Source organism: Homo sapiens, chromosome 2, assembly GCF_000001405.40.
Source record: "Homo sapiens chromosome 2, GRCh38.p14 Primary Assembly".
Classification (NCBI taxonomy): domain Eukaryota; kingdom Metazoa; phylum Chordata; class Mammalia; order Primates; family Hominidae; genus Homo; species Homo sapiens.
Genome location: NC_000002.12, coordinates 111,607,532 through 111,625,909, shown reverse-complemented (window position 1 = coordinate 111,625,909; position 18,378 = coordinate 111,607,532). Strand labels below are relative to the sequence as shown.

The following is an 18,378-nucleotide window of genomic DNA, read 5'->3' as shown; positions in this document are numbered from 1 at the left end:
AGTAGGATGGTTATTGCCTGAAAGTTTTCTGTCTTGCTAGGCTGACTTTTGCTGGCCCTTTGGCTGTGGGGAGCAGGCTTTTGTCAGGGCGATTTTTGTCTGTGCCCACTGGTGTTTCCAGTTTGCTGGCTTGTTCAGTTCCAACTCTGGCATATGTGAGGCAAAACATTAACTTGGAACTCCTTATCATTTTGTTACTTGTGTGTTGAGGTTCCTAGCCTCCTGTCTGCCTTCTCTCCACCTCTCAGAATCTTCTTACCTAGTTATTGATTTTACATATAATGTCCAGGGTTTTTAGTTGTACTTACCAGGAGGAATAGGGAAAAGTACATCTCCTTCATCTCATAAGCTCAAATTCTGGCATCACATTTTTAATTATAAGAAACATGCTGTGTAATCCCAGCACTTTGGAAGGCTGAGGCAGGCAGATCACGAGGTCAGGAGGTCGAGACCATCGTGGCTAACACGGTGAAACCCCATCTGTACTAAAAATACAAAAAATTAGCCGGGTGTGGTGGCGGGCGCCTGTAGTCCCAGCTACTCAGGAGGCTGAAGCAGGAGAATAGAGTGAACCCGGAAGGCAGAGCTTGCAGTGAGCTGAGATGGCGCCACTGCACTCCAGCCTGGGGAACAAAGCGAGACGCCGTCTCAAAAAAAAAAAAAAAAAAAGAATCATGCTCATTTTTACTAACTTGTAATAGATTCTGGCCTGATGGATTATAATTTTGAAAACACAATCAAGATCCAAAGACAAGAAAAGCTTCGTCAAAGGGACTGTGTTCTATATACCATGTACCAAATGTGCTGATTTTTACAACTGTGACTTGCTTCTGTGAGCAAATCTTGTAATTGGAACCCTCACTGAAGCTTTCTTCTTAGAAGTCCATGTTGAGAAATGCACTGATGTGAGATTAGCATCTGAACATGTTGCTTAACATAGCTAGTATTTCCACACAAACTCATAGCTACTATTTCCACACAAACTGTGATTTATATCAGGAAATGGGCTCTTGACAGTTCTTAAAGAAACACAACCAGCTAATTCGTGGCAAACCCATATTTGGCAGACTTGGGTTATTGGAGCAGGAAAAATAATTTCTTAAAAACAGTAGTTGCCCCCATTAAAAAGTAGGCAAAGGACATGAACAGACACTTCTCAAAAGAAGACATTCATGCAGCCAACAAACATATGACAAAAAGCTCTACATCACTGATCATTAGAGAAATGCAAATCAAAACCACAATGAGATACCATCTCATGCCAGTCAGAATGGCAATTATTGAAAGGTCAAGAAACAACAGATGCTGGCAAGGCTGTGGAGAAAAAGGAACGCTTCTACACTGTTGGTGAGAGAGTAATTTAGTTCATTGTTTAAGACAGTGTGGCAATTCCTCAGAGATCTAGAAGCAGAAATACCATTTGATCCAGCAACATCCAGCAATCCCATTATTGGGCATATACCCAAAGGAATATAAATCATTCTGTTATAAAGATACATGCACATGTATGTTAATTGCAGCACTATTCACAATAGCAAAGTTATGGAATCAACCCAAATGCCCATCAACACTAGACTGGATAAAGAAAATGTGGTACATGTACACCATGGAATACTGTGCAGCCATAAAAAGGAATGAGATCATATCCTCTGCAGGGACATGGATGGAGCTGGAAGCCGTTATCCTCTGCAAACTAATGCAGGAACAGAAAACCAAACACCGCATGTTCTCACTTATAAGTGAGAGCTAAACAATGAGAATACATGGTCACATGTTGGGGAACAACACACACTGAGGCCTGTCAGAAGGTGCACTGGGGGGAGAGCATCAGGAAGAATAGCTAATGGATGATGGGCTTAATACCTACCTGATGGGTTGATCTGTGCAGCAAACTACCATGGCACATGTTTATCTGTGTAACAAATCTGCAAATCCCGCACATGAACCCTGGAACTTAAAATAAAAGTTGATTAAAAAAATAGTAGGTGCATGATTGTGCCTGTGAATAGCCACTGCAGTCCAGCCTGGGTAACACAGTGAGACCTGTTTCTGAACATAAATAAATAAATAAATGGTAGGTGTAACAGGTGTGAGAAGGCTGGAAGGTGCTGGAAGATGAGACACAATGCTTGGTTTCTGATCCAAGCATTCAGTGTCTGGTAGGAGAGAGAAATACAAAGAAATGATCCTGGGGCGGTGGTATAGTAGGGAAGAGACTCCTGGAGACACCATGGAGGGAGAAGCAACCTGCAGGGGAGGATAGTGAGGCACAGATAGACTTGGTATGGGCCTTGTAGTGAGGTGAGAAGCAGCATCTGAGCTGAAATTGTGGGGGCGATGATGGGGTGCAGGGAGCAGCATGCAGAGTCATGGAGGAAGATCCATTACTGCTGAAGGAGAGTGGGTGTGGGGCAGCATCAGAAGACAAGGCTGGAAGAATAGGCAGAGACAGATTGCAAAAGATCTGGATGCCATGAACTGCGGAAAACATTTTTTTTTTTAAAGAAAAAGTTGGCTTTGAAGGGAAAAGGCCTTGTTTTGGTACCTCTGCAATAGTTTAAAATGCAAAGGCAAGACTAGGAAGATGAAGAAATGGGAAACTGTGACATGTGGAAGAAACAAAGGTGCTACCCTCCGAAGGCGTGGCTGAGCCTAGGAAATGGGAGGGCGGGGCAGGTGGAAGGTGTTTGCACAGATGATGGGGAATGTTTCATGGAAGAGGTGTCTTTCTCATGTCATTGGGTGACCCCAAGGCATAGGCCCAGGCCCACTGGGGAGCCACGGCCAGGCTGATTTGTCTTTGCCACAGGAATGTTTCCACACAGCTATGCATGGATGCCATGGCTGCCTATGAAGGAGTGAGCTCCCTGTTCCTGGAACGTGTTGTCCAATGTGTTGGATGTGCTGGCCAGTCAACCACTGAGCTAGTGAAATTTGAGAATTTGAGCTTCCAGTGGGCAATTGGATGAGACAATTTCCTGGGTCCCTTTTAGGCCTGAGGATCTATGATTCATATTTACTAATAGACTGGGTGGAAATCATGTTGGGATCAAAGTGTGAAACACTCGATTCTAACACAATCCACTCAGAGAAATGGAAGCTTTGCAATTTTCATTATTTATGTTTTCTGTGAGGATCTTTCTCAGTGCAAGGCACTTCTATAAGCCTTTGTCAGAATTTTCAGCCACTCCACGATTGGTATGATTCCTTCAGAGCTGAACTGTGAACCTGCTATGGGCTTAGCTGGGAAAATGTATCATCCATGTGAATCTAGATTGGATCATGTCCCCAGATGTGCCCCAGAATCAAACTTGCTCCAAGTTGGGGTCATTTGACCCAGGACTACTCTAAACCACTGCAGATTCAATATTTTCAGAGTTAGGAGGGAGCTCAGCCAGCCACGGGGAGAGAACAGAGCCATGCACAAAGGCCACAATATTGGGCAGGAACTGTGTTCTTGCCTTCACTGGCTGTATTCTCAAATATGCATTCTTCTTCTCTTTCCCTTCTCCTATCCACCTGTGGGGCTGATTAATAATCATCATAGCCAATCTATTGAACATTTGTAGTATTTTAGGCAATGTGACACATATTTAATCTCCTCAACAACACTAGAAGTAGAAGTTTTTTTTTTTTTTTTTGAGACAGAGTTTCATTTTTGCTGCCCAGGCTAGAGTGCAATGTTGCGATCTTGGCTCACCGCAACCTCTGCCTCCTGGGTTCAAGCAATTCTCCTGCCTCAGCCTCCCGAATAGCTGGGATTACAGGCATGCACCACCACACCCGGCTAATTTTGTGTTTTTAGTAGAGATGGGGTTTCTCCATGTTGGTCAGGCTGGTCTTGAACTTCCGACCTCAGGTGATCCGCCCACCTCGGCCTCCCAAAGTGCTGGGATTACAGGCATGAGCCACCATGCCTGGCCAGAAGTAGAAGTTTTTATCTCCACTTAACACAGGAAGAAACTGAAGGCCAGAGTGATTAGAACTTGCCCAAGTTTGCGGAGCTGGATGGAGCCACCAACTCCTGATCCTGAAGTATTCGAGTCCCGTGTATGACCTCATTTGATCTCTTTTAAAGGTTCAATCAATGATCTTTTTTCTCTTAAAAGGGAATAGAGGGTCCCCATTTTCTTCTCCACTACCAATATGAATAGAAATGTTATGAGGCTGTGTCTATGAAAAACATTCCATCGTAAATGTGAAGCACAAAGGAATATAAATCATTCTATTATAAAGATACATGCACATGTATGTTCATTGCAGCACTATTTTCACACACTGACCATGCCCATGAAACCACCACCAAGATCAAGACTCAGAACACAGCCGGTTCCCCGGATGCCCTGCCATACCCATGGCTTCCATCACCATAGCTCAGCTTTGCTGTCCTTGATCTCCTCATATGGGTCATGCATAGTGTCCTCTTTTGTATCTGGCTGCTTTTGCTCAGCATTTGTAAAAGCCATCCAGTGGCGTTCTGGTCAATTGGTTCTCAGAAGACAAAAAGCAAAACCAACCAAAAAATCAAAAAACAAAACAAGATCTCAGTTTTAACATTTACCAATGTCAACACCTCCACCATGGCTGATGTCAAGCTACCAATGATTTAAATTCCAGACTATTTCGTGATCAAGTCTTGTGAGCTGATATGGGCCAGCCCCATCATCTGCAGGACTCATTCACCTGGTGACGTGTGGTTGCATATCATGCATTTTCAGTGTCCCAGGTGTACAGATATGTGGGCTCTTTTTTATTGTGGCCTTTGGGCAAGTCACTGGTTTTGGAAGCAGCCTCTTTGGGGGAGTTTCATTTCTGTAGCTCTGTGATGCTAAGTTGCAGAGGTGTGAACACTGGGGCCAGAAACCTGCGGTCCTGGTCTTGTCTCTATCAGTAACCCTCTTGACTCCCATACTCAATCTTATCCATACAGATGGGAAGCCGCATTCCTCCTCACAGGCTTGTGAGGTCACTTACCACTCATTAGGTGCTTAATAAAGGGTTTCTCCCTCCCTTTCTCTCTCTTTTTCATCTCAGAGAAGGTGACTGTACCTTGGGTGAAGTTGTATGGAGATGTAGGAATCCATGTCCTTCCACTGATCTTTGGAGTGTTTTGCTTTGACACCCAGAGCCTCTGCAGGATCCTCTGAAGGGAAGGAAAGGAAGGAGGGAGGAAGGAGAGAAGGATGAAAGGAGGAGTGGAAGGTGGGGAAGGAGAGAAGGAAGGAAGGGAAGGAAGGAAGGAAGGATGGTGGGCCTATCAGTTCTGTCCCTGTGAGCCTGGAAGAAGAGTTCCGTTGACAGATGGACCGTTTGAACTGGCTGCCTGTGATGGACCCAGAAGACCTCTCACACATGGAAATGATGTTCTTTTTGCACCAGAGTCTCCTTGTTCCTGAATACAGTCAGTCATGTGTCACTTCACAACGGGGATACGTTCTGAGAAATGCATCATTTGGTGATTTCATCGTTGTGTGAACATCACAGGGTGTACTTACACAAGCTTAGATGGCATAGCCTACTACACACCTAGGCTGTATGGTGTAGCCAATTGTTCCTAGGCTACAAACCTGTACAGCATGTTACTCTACTGAATACTGCAGGCAATTGTAACACAATGGCAATAATTTGTGTATCTAAACCTTAAAAAGACACAGGAAAAACACAGTATGAAAGATTAAAAATGGCACACCTGTATAGGGCACTTCCCATGAATGGAGCTTGCAGGACTGGAAGTTTCTCTGGGTGAGTCGGTGAGTGAGTGGTGAGAGAATGTGAAGGTTTAGGACATTGCTCTACACTGCTGTAGGCTTTAGAAACACTGTACGCTCAGGCTACACTAAATTTATTTCAACATTTTTTCTTTAATAATAAATTAACATTAGCTTACTGTAACATTTTTACTTTATAGATCTTTTCATTTTTAAATTTGTTTTGCTCTTTTCTAATAACAGCTTAAAACACAAACACGTTGTACAGCTATACAAAAATATTTTCTTTCTGTATATTCTTATTCAATAAGCATTTTTTCTGTTGTAATTTTTTTTAACATTTTACACTTTTTTATTCAGAACTAAGACACAAACACACACATTAGCCTGAGCCTCTGCAGGGTCAGGATCGTCGCTATCACTGCCTTCTTGTCCACATCTTGTGCTGCTGGAGGGACATCGGGGCAATACGATGCATGGAGCTGTCATCTCCTAGGATAACAGCGCCTTCTTCTGGATACCTCCTGAGGGACCTGCCTAACTATTTTTTCATAAGTAGGAATACACTCTAAAATAATCATTAAAAATACAGCAGTAAATACCATAAGCCAGCAATCTAATCATTTATTATTATTATCAAGTATTATGTATTGTATGAAATTGTGCTAGACTTTTACAGGCCTGGCAGTGCAGGAGGTGTGTTGACGTCAGCACTGCCACAAACACGTGGGTAATGTGTTGTGCTATGATGTTATGTGCTATGGCTGGAAGAAGTCCTGGTGAGCCTGGAAGAAGAATTCTGTTGACGGATGGACCACTTGAATTGGCTGCCTGTGATGGACCCAGAAGACCCACTCACATATGGAAATGATGTTCTTTTTGCACCAGAGCCTCCTTGTTCCTGAATACAGTCATGTGTCACTGTATTTGCGACATGTGGAAGAAACAAAGGTGCTACCCTCCAAAGGCATGGCTGAGCTTAGGAAACGGAAGGGTGGGGCAGGTGGAAGCTGTTTGAACCTTCTCCCAAACCCATTTACTTAACAATGGTGATTTCGTCATTGTGTGAACATCACAGGGTGTACTTACACAAGCTTAGATGGCATAGCACTGTCACTTGGTGATAGGAATTATTCAGCTCCTTTATAATCTGAGGGAGCCACTGTGGTGTATGTAATCTGTCATTGACCAAAATGTTCTGACCATAGATCCTCACAACCCAGGCGTCCTCTGGAGAGATGTCCCATCTCTGAGGGATTGTGAAAGGAAACCGGAGAAAGGCAGTCAAGAGACCAAGAATGATAGTCTGTGAAGACGTTTTTCAGGGTGAAGGGGAAGTAAAGACTTGGCTGCAGAGGGGAACCCGGGGCCTTCGCAGCCAGGAGGCTGAGGCCTCAGCAAGGCAGAGAGTGCCCACTGGCCTTGTGTCGCCACCAGCTGGGTTCGTGCATCCACCAGCAGGAGCTTCTCCTGGAAGGGGGGTGGGGAACATCTTCCACGGAGTTGGGCCAAGGGCACTTTCTCTCTGCCACAGGCTGGAGAGTCATCTCCTGCTCTCTCAACTGTAAAAACATGCTGATGTGGCCAAGGGAAACAAAATGCCCCTCCCTGCCTGGGAGTTCAATCCATGTCCCTTTAACAGCTGGCTGAGATGGAGAACAGCATCTCCTTCCAAATCAATGACTGTTTTTTTTGGATCCCCCTTCAGCACCCCAATCCCAGGACTTGGGGCTTCCCGGTGAAAGCTGCTGATTTCTGTGACCTCTTGGATGGATGCCTTGCGTCCCAAGGGCAAAGATCACGCTCAGATCCCTGTCTGGGGCCTCACTTCTTGGCCGCCTGTCTGCCGCTCATGCTGCTGCCGCCTCCCCAGGGCTTTTTGGAGGATAATCTAGAAAGAGGCAGCCTGGTATGCATACGGAACGGAAAAAGTAATGATTCTGGAACTGGCTGGATCTAATTTAAAATCCTGGCTCTGCAACATGCTGGCTGGGTGACTGTGGGCAGAGCCTGGCTCCCATGTGTCAGGCACCCTGTAACTTCTCCAAGAGCCCTGCAGATTCAGAACATCAACCCCACTTCCCTGGGTTGGGGGAGGCAGAAGAGCTGCCCGGGCTACGCAGGCCAAGGCAAGACCAAGCTGGATTTGAGCCCATGCTGTTCTGACCACAAAGCCACCCTCTGTTGTCCACGTGACACTCCAGTGCCACAGGCTGGGAGTGCCCCAGGAGCACTGGAGTTCCTGTAGGTCCCATAGCTCTTCCTATGGGTGGAGGTGAGGGGTGCACAGGAAACTCTTCCTGCCTGGAGAAGGTGCATGCACACGTGCGTAAGGTATGCATTCTACTCATGGGTGGCACATTTATTTAACTATTCCTTTACAGTCAGACATGGCGATCACTTCCAGTTTACTGTTCATCAGTAAAGCTGTGTAAAATATTCAAAATCCCAAGTCTTTTCTCCATTCCTACTTCCTTATGAGACATACCTGAAAGCCGAGTCACTGTGTCTCTGTATGAAAAATGCAGGCCTTAAATAAAATACCTGTTGTTAAATTGCCATCAATAAGGGCTCTGGTGGGACTTGTACTCCCCCTGCTCAGAGACTTTTTCCCTGTAGCTGGAGGCTGTTTGTGAGTTAAGGTCAAGGCTATGTTGTTTTGATCTTTGGTTAAGACTAACAAAATACCCAGTGTGTGTATGTGCGTGTGTATGGGGGGGAGGGGAGGGCTGCAAAATCAATTTCTACCACAAAAGGGCACCCTCAGTGCCCTCTCCACTGTTTTCCCAATCTATTGTTTAAATCCCACGGTGCATAGGCAAATGCACAGAGAATGTAAGGAAATGAAAAAAAAAAACAAAAAAACAAAACAAAAAAAACAACCAGAGAGGAAAAAGAAAAAAGAAGAATCTTGCCTGGGATAGTGAGTATATAAGAGGTTTTCTTTTTCTAGTCAAAATGTTTTTACAGTAAAAATGGGAGGGGAGGGAAAGGATATCCTCAGCCAGACTATGAACCCAACCCTCTTAGATGTTAGACACTTGGGAACAGACAGGACCTGTCAATTAATTTTTAAGGTAAAAAATGTGGAGATCCTTTTGTTCCGCCTGGAAACTGAAGTCCAAGCGTGGTCTGTCTGCCCTCTGGCAAGGCAGGCTGCTGACTTTTCTCTCCAGCTGTGCACCTGTGTGCAGGTGCCTCTCAGGTGTCATGCATCGAAGTGAAGTTGCTCTGACCCAGCCTCTGAAGAGGACAGAGGGGCTCTGATGCTGCTCCAGTGAGCACTCTGTCGGCTGAAGTGCGGGTGCTCAGGCTCTGGCTGACCAGGGCAAGCGTGGGGTGAGAAAGAGCAGCCGCATCTGGATGTGCAGGCCAGTGATGCCCAGCAAGGCTGCATTCCTCAAACCCCAGGGACAGGGAGCCATGGACTTCACCTGGTGACCTTCAGATTCTGCCCTGAGCTTAACACGGTACAGGGGGAGGGCAGATACCATCTTCATTTTACTTCTGGCCTCCTCAGTCACTGGGAATGGTGATGCCAGGACTTGACTGTAATTGGAGATAGGCCCTTTGAAGAGGTACTTAAGTTAAAATGAAGCTGGTAGGGTGGACCCTGATCCAAACTGATGGGCGCTCTTAGAAAAAGAGGAAATTTGGACAAAGAAGAAACACGAGGAGGTCTTGTTCATAGAGGGACAACCACGTGAAAAGACAGCGAGAGGGCGGCCATCTGCAAGCCAAGGCGAGAGGCCTCGGCAGAAACCAGTCCTACTGGCACTTGATTGGGACTTTGAGCCTCTAGAACTGTGAGACATAAATTTCTGTTGTTTAAGCCACCCAATTCATGGCATTTTGTTTTGGCCATCCTAGCAAACTAATACAACCAGCCTCTCTCATCTCACACACAATTTAATAAAACTGGAGTCATTCTGCATTGCAGTTCTGTATCATGCTTTATTCACTTCATCTTTGCATTGTGAGCCCTTTCCTGTGTTCACGGTTCCCTGCTGACCAGGAGGATAAGGTTTGAATGCCACAGCCCAGCACTCGTGATCATCCATGGACAGCCCTTCTTCTACCCAGCCATGCTGGTTTGCTCTCTGTTTCCCAGACTCTGTATGTCTGTCTTTTCTGCTCCTGCCAGCCCCTGGCATCCATTAAAAGTGATTTTCCCTGCTGTCATTCAAGGCATGGCTCATACTGAAACCTGTCTTGCCATGTATCCCGCTTCATGGCAGGGCATTTATAAATCAACCTGTGTCTCCAGCATTTACCATGCTCCCTTGTAACACATATTATGTCTTCACCCAGCCTTAGGAGATGGTGATTATTTTAAAATGAGGATTGAGAATTGTTAGTCTGTTCTGGCATTGCTATAAAGAAATACCTGAGACTGGGTAATTTATAAAGAAAAGAGGTTTAAGTCGCTCATGGTTCTGCAGGCTGTACAGGAAGCATGATGCTGCCATCTGCTCCACTTCTGGAAAGGCCTCAGGAAACTTAAAATCATGGTGGAAGGCGAAGGGGGAGCAGGGATCTTACATGGTAGGAGCAGGAGCAAGAGAGAGTGAGGGGGGTGGTGCTACACACTTTTAAAAAACCAGATCCCTCAGTAACTCACTATCACAAGAATAGCACCAAGAGGTTGGTGCTAAACCATTCACGAAGGACCACCCCCATGATTCAGTCGCCTCCCACCAGGCCCCACCTCCAAAATTGGGGATTACAATTCAACATGAGATTTGGGTGGGGACACAAATCCAAATCATATCGAGAATTACAGGCATAATTAAATTATTCCTTGGTCCCTGTCTCTGACTTCCATTAATATTAGAGAAAGGGTAATACATCTTCATTAAGTTGGGTTTATCTCAGGAATGCAAGCTTGGTTAAGCATTAGAAACCCAATCAATGTGATTTACTCTATTAATGGAATGAAGGATTACAATAATAAAATCTTTTTCAAAGAATGCAAAAAAGCATTTGTCAAAATTCAATATCCATTAATGGTAAAAACTCTCAGCAAACTAGGAACAGTAGGAAACTTCCTTAAAATAATAAAGGCATTTACAAAATTCCTGCAGGTTGCATCATGCTTAATGGTGAAAGCCTGAACTATCTCCTAAACCCATTTACTCCTCCTCAGGGAAGACTTCCCTGACCCCATGTTTAAGTCAAACACTCATTATACATTCCCTTAGGACCAGCCTCTCATCCAAAGAAGTGATCATAAATGCAATTTAAAATGTATTTGTGGTTGGGTGCGGTGGCTCATGCCTGTAACCCAGCACTTTGGGAGGCCGAGGCAGGTGGATTTCTTGAGGTCAGGAGTTCCAGACCAGCCTGGACAACATGGTGAAACCCCATCTCTACGAAAAATACAAAAATCAGTTGGGTATAGTGGTGCGTGCCTGTAATCTCAGCTACCTGGGAGGCCAAGGTGGAAGGATCACTTGAGTCTGGGAGGTGGAGGCTGCAGTTAGCCAAGATCGTCCCACTGCACTCCAGCCTGGGTGACAGAGTGAGACTTCGTCTAAAAAAAAAAAAATTATTTCTGCCACTATTTGCTTAATGTTTGTTTTCTGGTGTAGGCATTCAGCTCTGTGAATAAAAGCATTCTGCTGATTTCTGCTGCCCTGTATCCAGACGGAAGGAATGGGTGAGTGAATGACAGGCACCTGTTCTGTTTACAGTCAGTAAAGTAAACACAACACTACACGTATGAACTCCACCGGAAAGATGAACACTTATGGCATATTTGGTGCCACTGTCCCAGGGAGAGTAGAAGTACAGGGTTTTGTTCTTCTGACTTGAGAAATTTTTGTGCTAGAAGGGCCACTGAGGGTCATCCAGGCCTATCACTGCCCACACCAAATTTATAGGTGAGGTCACTAGGGCCTGAGATCTGAAGCATGCATGACATCCCGAATGAACTACAAATCCTAGGTCAGAGTTAACAGTAGTGGTAACTGCACAGGATGAGTTGGTGCAGGGTGACAAGCTCATGCGTGGTAGCTATTTTGAATCAATACCCCGTAACTAACCTCTGCTGTTTGAAACACCTGGCAGAGTGCTGCAACTCACCCTTGGGCAAAGCCCCACTCTCTGAGGCTGTGGTGGGGTTCAGGGAATACTACCCCAAAATATGGCAGATTGGCATTGGAGAAAACGGCAGAAGCAGGAAGGCCTCTCTCACCTTCTCCTTGCCCTTCTTTTCCTGAAGCAGGCCATGAAACCAAGCTGACTTTCTCCTGGAGCAAGGCATAAGGTCCTTGTGTGAGAGGTGCCCACTCTTTACCTGGAGGGGAGGAACGTCTTTATCTCTGAAGACACAGGGATGCAGAAGAAAAGCTGAACAAACAGGCCTTGCTGAGTTCCCCCTTGTATATAACTAATTAGATCATACTCTCTTTGTCCAATCACACTTCTCCACTACTATCGACTTCTCCATCAAACTTACAATAAAAACACACAGGTGTCCCTATTCCCTATTTCTTTATCTTTTTCTTTCTTTCTTTCTTTCTTTTTTTTTTAAGATGGAGTCTTGTTCTGTCACCCAGGCTGGAGTGCAATGGCGTGATCTTGGCTCGCTGCAACCTCTGCCTTCTGGGCTCCAGCAATTCTCCCACCATAGCCTCCCGAGTAGCTGGGATTACAGGTGCCCGCCATCATACCCGGCTAATTTTTAAATTTTTGTAGAGACGGTGTTTCACCATGTTGGCCAGGCTGGTCTCAAATTCCTGACCTCACGTGATCCACCTGCCTCAGTCTCCTAAACTGCTGGGATTGCATGCATGAGCCACTGTGCCCAGCCTCTTTGGATCTTTTTTCCTGAGGTGTCTTATGTTACATAAAATTTAAATTAAATAAGTTTGATGTTTCTCTTGTTAATCTGTATTTTGCCATAGGTGCCTCAGCTATGACCCTCGTAATGGGTGAGGAAAAAACATATTTTCTTCCCTGCAGCTGCTTGGCCACCTGCCTTTTGCTTGGATTGGCAGAAATCTGGCTTAATCTGGCTTCTCCAGTCCTCCATCACCTGGCCAGGAGGTAGCCCTTGGTCTAACCCCTTCTCATGTTTGGAAGCAGACTTTCCCTTTCTTTCTAAGGACTGGTAGGCAGCTCCTCATGGATGGAGTGATAACTCCAGAATGTCTTCGTGTGATGGCTGTTGGAGTGGGAAGTGGGCTGGGAGGCTGTGCTGGCATAGACTTTGTGTAGGATTGAGAAGACAATAACTGCCAGTGTGAAGATCAGGCGGGAGTTGGGAAGACAGCTGAGAGTGGCCAAGGGGAAGCCAGAGCCTCTTCAAGTCATCTCTAGATGGGTGTGAAAGGGAGAGAAGAGGCCAAGAAACCATGAGATTAAAAGGTGGAGGTGGGGGCATAGAGATCCCAGCTGCTCTAGGGGACCCTCCCAGGCAAGTGCTGTGTGTGTATGCTTCTCCACTGTTCCTTCTGCAATGCATTCCATCTGGCTGCTAGATACGGTAAAGGGAATGAAAGGTGGGAAAGGCAAAGGGTGCGTTTAATCTACCCTTCAGCTGTGAATTCTCTAGAGGAGAGCTAGTCCTTGTGTTTGTTGATGCAGCTGCCTCTCTCCTGAGACCTGTAAAATGACTTTTTTTTTTAAAGGTAAAATCATGACTCTTACACAAATGTAAAATGAACACATGTCAAAGATTTTATTTAGTTCATTAATTAATGAGGGAACCAGTAAGATGCTACAACCAGCCCAAAGGAGAATTAAAAATGCCACGCATAGCTAGGACAATAGGAATGCTGACATAGAATTTACAAATAGATGCAAAATTGATGATAGCCACTGGACAGTCTGTCCACATGTCCATGGACAAGGATAGTTGGCATTCCATGGGTCTTTTACAACTTGCAAACCGAGGAAAGTTTAGGTCCTCCTTTTTCCTTGCTGACCTTTCATGGGTCAGCCCTCATCTGGACATCAACACTCCTGAGACATGTGGTCACTGCAATAATTGACTGAAATCAGTAAAGACACAATTTCTCCCTCTGCTGCTCCGTGTTCCTGTCTAGATAGTTGTTTTCCTCTCCAAGTAAAAGTTGTTAAAGAGCTTAAAGACAATGAAGGGCAGAGAGAGCCAGGATGTGAATACTTTTCTGCTGTACTGTCTTTCACAGATCCATGTTGCAGCTGGGAGCATGGGGAAATCTGGACACGCACTTCACCAAAATGAGACAACTGTGGCAGGAGACAGGCTAAGGCGAGTGGGGACAAATCAATGTGCTGGATGCCCTGGTGTACCTGTGACGAAGAAGCAGGAGCTGGGAAGAGAGAGGAAAAGGAAATAGACAAGTGAATAAATAAATAAGAGTTCAGAAACCCCGTCTCCACCAAAAATACAAGAAATTAGGTGGGCATGGTGCTGGTGCCTGTAGTCCCAGCTATTCGGGAGGCTGAGGCAGGAGAATGACGTGAACCCAGGAGGCGGAGCTTGCAGTGAGCCGAGATTGTGCCACTGCACTCCAGCCTGGGTGACAGAGCAAGACTCCATCTCAAAAAAAAAAAAAAAAAAAAAAAAAAAAAAGAGTTCAAAGGAAGTGTAGAAGAGTTGAGAGAAGAACTCTATTTGCACATTCACTCTTCAGTTCATTTCCTCATTCATTTTCTGAACAGTGAATCTGGCTCTGTGCTGGATCCTGGAGCATAAAGACTAAATTAGCTGCACAAAGACCCTGATCACTAACATCCTAGTGGGAAAGACACACTGTGTATTAAGCTGAGTAATCACCACCTTCCCACCATGTCTGTATCCTGATCCCTGGAACATGTGAATATTATCGTATATGGCAAAATGGACTCTGTAGATGTGATTAAGTTCAGGATCTTGAGATGGAGAGATTACTCTGCATTGGCCTAATGTAATCACAGGGGTTTTCATAAGGAGGAGGCAGGTGATCAGCATAGGAGAAGGCAATGTGATTATGGAAGTAAATGTGGGAGTGCTGCAGCTACAAACTGAGGAAAGCTGGCAGCTCTGGAAACTGGAAGAGGCAAGGGACAGATTCTCTGCTGGAGCCTTCCAAAGGAGCCAACCCTCTGATACCTTGCTTTCAGCCTTGAAAGACACATTTTGGACTTCTGACCACCAGGACTGTAAGAGAATAGATTTGTGTTGTTTGAAGCCACTGAGTTTGTGGTAATTGCTATAGGAGTCATAGGAAACTAACATATATGCTGAACAATTGCATGGTCGCATGATTGCAATGTAGAGTGTTTTGAGGAAGGAAATTAAGGCAGCTGGGGAGCTGATGACAGGTGTCCTGGAGGAGGAGGTTTCCTGTGGAGAGCTGAGGGCTTTGAAGGAGGCCACCCATGGTGGTGGATTGGGGACGTGGCAGTTTCAAAGCATACACCATGTGAAGGAAGGACCCTGCAGAAGTCCCAAATCAATGTTTTCTTGCTTATCCCTGGTGGACGATGGAGGCTGGTGGCAGGGGCATTAATGTGTGGCCATGGTGGTCTGTGTGATATGGTGAAAATGCAAAGGAGATGAACTCCCAAGACTTTTGGGAGACATTTATAGGAAGATGGGTGCTAAGTAAATCCAAGGCAGTCTTTTCAGACAGAGGGCTTGATACCACTAATTAGGCAGCTTGGATGAGTGGCACCATGGAACTGGCTGGTGGTTTTCTTGTCAAAATAGACACAAACTCCCTTCTCTCCATGTCCTTAGAAGATGTGAATTTAGAGGTCTCCACATTGCCTGACAAAGTCTGTTTTAACTGGGTAAAATAAAAAAAAAATTACCATTGTATTGCTCCTGAACCTTGCTTAAAATTCCCTTTAAAGATCTGCAAAGGGTTTTGCTCATTTGTACAATCTTAAAGGTCACAAAATTAGAAGCTTAGCAGCCACATGCCAACTGCACACAGCATTTGAAATCTTTGACACAGACCGTTCCAGAAGTCACAATTGGCCAAGCTGCACTTCTTGTGACACTCAGTAGCCTGCACACCCATCTCCTGGCTTGTAAGCATATGCCTTTTTGTCCAGCCAGCTGAGGTACTTGGTTCCTGATTGTTTTCTTGTTTGTTTTTTAATGCTCAGATATTCTCATATGGTGAATATTTGTGAGCCAAATTACTTGGCAGGAGCGTTTGATGCCATGGCCAAATGGGGAGCCCAGAGTCAGCATCTTTTTAAAGCTAACTCTTACTTGCCAGCTCCTCTTTCTGCCCACATACTCGCCCCGTACCAGGCCCAGTGGCTGTTGCACAGACAAACACCAAGCAGTCCTGCAAACCCCATTTGCTTCCTTCTGGGCTTGATGCTGCCTGGGAGTGGGCTTCTCCCTGGGTGGTATGTAGGAGTTTTCCTTACATTTTCATTTCTTATCAGCTTACCATTTGCAACTGATGCAGGACAGGCAAGACCCCAAACTGGGGCTTAGCCCAGGAGGATTCTTGGCTTTGCCCAGGAGAGAATTCAAGCACAAGTGGTGGTGTTAGACAGCAACTTTTATTGAGGCAGCAGCAGCTGTACTGCTCCCTGTGGAGCAGGGCTACCCCACAGGCAGTGTGCCCAGAGTAGCAGCTCAGGGGCAGTTCAGCAGTCATATTTGTACCCACTTTTAATTACATGCAAGTTAAAAGGCAGTTGATGCAGGCATTTCTAGGAAAAAGGTGGTAACTTCCGGGTCATTGGGTTACTGCCATAGAAAGGGGTGGTAACTCTCAGGTGTTGCCACGGCGATGGTAAACTGACATGGCACACTGGTGGGCATGTCTTATGGAAAGCTGCTTCTGCCCTGGCCCTGTTTCAGCTAGCTCTCAATTTGGTCCAGTGTCTGAGCCCAGCCTCTGGAGTTGAGTCCCGCCCCCTACCTCACTATCTTGGTTCTATTTGGAGATGCCCTGAAAGGCTGTGTCCAGTCCCACAGTGAGTGAGGAATCTATGCTGAGGTTCCTTTGGAGGTGAATTTTGAATGACGTATAACCCAGTACAGTGGAAAAGTCCAGAACTGAGGGATGCAGGCTAATATTAAAGACTCATAGTTTTGGGGGCTGTCTGTCCAAAGGCTCATGCATGGGCAGAAAGAGTTCACCTGACCTGTGCTGTGGGAAGTTTGCTGTAAACATTCTGATAAACATTTAACTGTAGTCCCTTTCAGTACCAGTGCCATGCCCTGCAGTGTTCACTAAGCACCCACAGGCATCTGCTCTCTGTGACCTGCTCATATGACGAGCTAAAGTCGAGCATGCTTCATTCACAGCCAGGCCTCCTCCTTTTTGTTGGCCTGAGTGTGTTGCTGACCATTCATGGGTCAGCCCCGACCTGGACATCAACACTCCTGAGAAATGTGGCAACTGCAATAATTGACTGAAATCAGTCTCTCCCTGTTTGCTGGTCCATGTTCTTGTCTAGAGAGTTGTTTTCTTCTCCAAGAATAAGAAGGTGGAATCGATTTTTCCACCTTTTGTTCCCCTCACCCCAATGATGATGAGGCACCAGGAGGGAATTTTCTGACTTTCTGCAGGCATTTATGTTCTGCTTCACATCATCATATTTATTCCTTTAATGTAGGAGAACCTTAAATGAAGCTTGTTGGAAATAGGCCATCCTCCATAACCTGGGTTTGTTGGAGCCCATCTATAGAAATGATTTCTTGGCAACTCTAGTTCTCTTGAGCATGTGTGCTATGGTTAAAGAGGCAGAAGGGCACAAGAATTTTAGCACCCTGAGGACTGAAAACCTTCCATAGAACCAGCATACATATTGTTTTATAAATAAGGAGTATTCTTGGCGTATAGTTGTTTGCAAAGAAAGGGAGCTCCTTAAGATTTATGACCCAGCTCACAATAACCAGATGACCTGAATCAAGGGTGTATGTCAGGAAACAGGATCCTGGAGGGGTCAATGACAGTGTCCATCTGTGGCCTCAAAGAGCCCGTTCCCAACTCTCCTGCCTTTTGACAGAAGGTCTGTCTGGTTATGGCTTTAGGAAGATAGATGACTTCTATATAGTCACAGGAAGAGTCTGCGTGCCTGGAGCTGTGGGCTAGAAAGGAGGTGAGAGATGCTGGCCTCTCCAAGGCCTCGTCCACGTGCCCCATCTCCAGACAGGAGCAGCCAGGGCTCCGTTAGGCTGCAAACAATGGAAAGCCTGAATAGCAGAGGCTTAAAAAACATGTGGTTTGCTTGTCTCACCTGAAAGAAGTCTGAAATTTGGAAGTCCAGGGCTGGGTCAGAGGTTCAGAGATGCTGGGGTTGAGGCCTAGATGGCTTTTTGGCCTTTTCCCCAGGAAAAAACAGAATCAATCAGAAGGTGGCTGATGTAGGTCAGGTGGGCTGGGGCTGGAGGGGATGGGAGGCTGTGAGTCTGGCGCTCCCTCTTGCTGGTGTGGGGATGGGTACCAGGAGGGCTTCTCTCCTCCACCTTGCTCTGTTGCTCTGTTGCTCTGTTGCCCAGGCACCCATTGCCAAGAAGCCAGACTGGAATTCCCAATGGGATGGGGCAGTCCCAAGGCACATGGAATCTTTGGTGGGACTTATACACCCTGTACTCCTGTGAGCTCCTCAGTCACTCTGGTCAAAAACTCTAATATTGTTCCTTTTACACAGTCATCACCCAAAACCCTGTTAAACACCCAAATGCACCTGGGGCAACCCTTGACCTTATGGAGCCCACTTT

The 18,378-nt window shown here is 45.8% G+C and overlaps 2 long non-coding RNA genes across 2 annotated transcripts, besides 2 other annotated features; one reads left to right on the top strand and one right to left on the bottom strand.

Moving 5' to 3' along the window:
- Positions 1 to 6,082: 6,082 nt before the first annotated feature.
- LOC107985933 (uncharacterized) lies at positions 6,083 to 15,499 on the top strand. Its single transcript, XR_001739641.2, has 3 exons — positions 6,083 to 8,042; positions 11,300 to 11,367; positions 13,865 to 15,499. It is a non-coding gene; the product is annotated as an uncharacterized LOC107985933 (long non-coding RNA).
- Positions 7,631 to 8,303: an enhancer, noted in NCBI's record as "H3K27ac-H3K4me1 hESC enhancer chr2:112375184-112375856 (GRCh37/hg19 assembly coordinates)". NCBI's record gives its function as "activates a minimal SCP1, AML or CMV promoter by ChIP-STARR-seq in naive H9 embryonic stem cells {active_cell/tissue: H9 hESC(naive)}" and the evidence as "EXISTENCE:reporter gene assay evidence [ECO:0000049][PMID:30033119]".
- Positions 9,027 to 9,528: an enhancer, noted in NCBI's record as "H3K4me1 hESC enhancer chr2:112373959-112374460 (GRCh37/hg19 assembly coordinates)". NCBI's record gives its function as "activates a minimal SCP1, AML or CMV promoter by ChIP-STARR-seq in primed H9 embryonic stem cells {active_cell/tissue: H9 hESC(primed)}" and the evidence as "EXISTENCE:reporter gene assay evidence [ECO:0000049][PMID:30033119]".
- On the bottom strand, positions 13,369 to 18,139 carry LOC105373559 (uncharacterized). The gene is made up of 2 exons (NR_188042.1): positions 17,895 to 18,139; positions 13,369 to 14,008 (listed from the first exon to the last, which is right to left on the bottom strand). It is a non-coding gene; the product is annotated as an uncharacterized LOC105373559 (long non-coding RNA).
- Between the last annotated feature and the right edge of the window lie 239 nt (positions 18,140 to 18,378).